This window comes from Homo sapiens, chromosome X, assembly GCF_000001405.40.
Source record: "Homo sapiens chromosome X, GRCh38.p14 Primary Assembly".
NCBI lineage: Eukaryota > Metazoa > Chordata > Mammalia > Primates > Hominidae > Homo > Homo sapiens.
In genome coordinates, this window is record NC_000023.11 from 123,924,069 (window position 1) to 123,926,509 (window position 2,441).

Genomic DNA, 2,441 nt, shown 5'->3' on the forward strand with positions numbered 1-2,441 from the left:
CCTTCATTTTTCAATTTTTCCACTTCAGTTGGCTCACTCATCTCCTCTCTGACAACAGTCCGTGAAGATTGTAAAAGATCAGCTCAGTGGCTTCACTGAAACCTAATAGGAGGCCCCTCTTTGCTTTGCTGAATACTTGGTAATTTCTTGTTTGCTGTTCTTATTCCTCTTCTTTCCCTCCACCTGCTCCATATTTTAATTGGCCTGTTGGAAACACACAGCAGGTGAAATTCTTTAGATGTCTCCACAGCAGGAGAAGGAAAAAGATGTTGAAATCAGAATGTTGAATATTTAAGTCGGGAAGGAGAAGGGCTGGGATTGGCCAAGCAGAAAACAAGAGGGGAGAAACCAGCAAGATGTAGTGACAACATCCCAGTCACTCTGGGTAGTAAGGGGAAACCTAGAACAACAAAGCCAGTTGAGAACACATGAAAAAAGAACTACTGACCCATAACCTGGGCAACCTTCCCACACACTCCTTTTGCCATTCTGCCATATGAGAGAAGGAAAGGAGAGAGTGTAGTATCCCTCTCCATTACAGGAAAGCAGTGTCAAGCTTATATCTTCTAATGAACTTGGATAAACTTGGATCCTACTTAGTGGCAACTTTATGTTCAAAGGAAAGCACATTTTCTCTGATAGCCCCAAAGAATCTAAATATTTGGTTCCAAGATGGAATATGAAATGGAATATGAGACTATGAGTATAAATCAAATATTTTTCTTTTTATCTTTTTTTTTGGGGGGGGCAGGAGGGACAGGGTCTTCTTCTGTCACCCAGGCTGGAGTACAGTGGCACGATCATAGCTCACAGCAGCCTCAACCTCCTGGGCTCAAGTCATCCTCCCACCTCACCCTCCCGAGTAGCTAGGACCACAGGCTGTGCCACCACACTCAGCTAATTTTAAAAAATTTTTTTGTAGAGATGGGGTCTCCCTATGTTGTCCAGGCTGGTCTTGAACTCCTGGACTTAATTGGATCTTCCTGCCTCAGCCTCTCAAAGTACTGGGACTACAGGCATGAGCCACCACGCCCAGCCCCATTTTCGTATGTTAGGTTTGAATTCTGTCCTTTATCAATGTGTGATGATTTTGATACATGAATTTCAAGCAAAAACTTTTCTTTCCTCCAGCCCCAAAGTTCTGTCTGAACTATATAGGGTGTGGGGAGGCTGTTTTCCTTCATAGAAACTACTACTTGAAGCAGTGACCATTGCTAAGGGGATTCAGCTGCCATTACTAAAGTAGAAATTTACTAAAGTACCCAGAAAGTGAGTCAATTTTACTCTGCTGGAAGGAAATATTTTCCTTTAAATGGAGTAAGAAAACACAAGAGGGTTCCACCCTTCTTGAAATACTGTAGCACTGCATATGTTTCTCACTCTGAGTGCAGAAAACTTTTGAAAAGTGCCTATTTATATAGCATTTTTTGAAATAACAAAATTTAAGAAGTGGAGGGCCAGAGTAAGTGGTTGCCATGGATTGGGGAAGGGAGGGTGGCGGTAGATGGGTGTGGTTATAAAAGGGCAACAGGAAGAATCTGTGATGCTGTAATTGTTCCGTATCCTGACTGTGGTGGTGGGTACATGAATCTACACAGTTGATAAAATGGTATATAAGCTGGGTGGAGTGCTGCCCACCTGTAGTCCCAGCTACTTGGGAGGGTGAGGTGGGAGGATTGATTGAGTCAAGGAGTTCAAGGCTAATGAGCCAGAGGAAAGATTGGGTGGAAGGAAATGAAGAAAGTATTATTATTATTATTATTATTATTATTATTATTATTATTAGAGACAGAGTCTCACTCTGTCACCCAGGCTGGAGTGCAGTGGCATGATCTCAGCTCATTGCAACATCTACCTCCTGGGTTGAAGCAATTCTTATGCCTCAGTCTCCCAAGTAGTTAAGATTACAGGTGTGTGCCACCATACCCAGCTAATTTTTGTATTATTATTATTATTATTATTATGATTTTTGAGGCAGAGTTTCACTCTTGTTGCCCAGGTTGGAGTGCTATGGCGTGATCTTGGCTCACTGCAACCTCCGCCTCTTGAGTTCAAGCAATTCTCCTGCCTCAGCTTCTCAAGTAGCTGGGATTACAAGTGTGCGCCACCATGCCTGGCTAATTTTGTATTTTTAGTAGAGACAGGGTTTCACCATGTTAGTCAGGCTGGTCTTGAACTCCTGACCTCAAGTGATCCACCGGCTTCGGCCTCCCAAAGTGCTAGGATTACAGGCGTGAGCCACCTCGCCCAGCCAATTTTTGTATTTTTTAGTAGAGATGGGATTTCTCCATGTTGGTCAGGCTGGTCTCGAACTCCTGGCCTCAAGTGATCTACCCGACTTGGACTCCCAAAGTGCTAGGATGAAAGGCATGGGCCACTATACCTTGCCTGTATTGTCTTTTTTTTTTTTTTTTTTTTTTGAGACGGAGTCTCACTCTGAC

At 43.3% G+C, this 2,441-nt stretch overlaps 1 annotated feature.

The window, feature by feature from the left end:
• Positions 1 to 502: an enhancer, noted in NCBI's record as "NANOG hESC enhancer chrX:123057919-123058420 (GRCh37/hg19 assembly coordinates)". NCBI's record gives its function as "activates a minimal SCP1, AML or CMV promoter by ChIP-STARR-seq in primed H9 embryonic stem cells {active_cell/tissue: H9 hESC(primed)}" and the evidence as "EXISTENCE:reporter gene assay evidence [ECO:0000049][PMID:30033119]".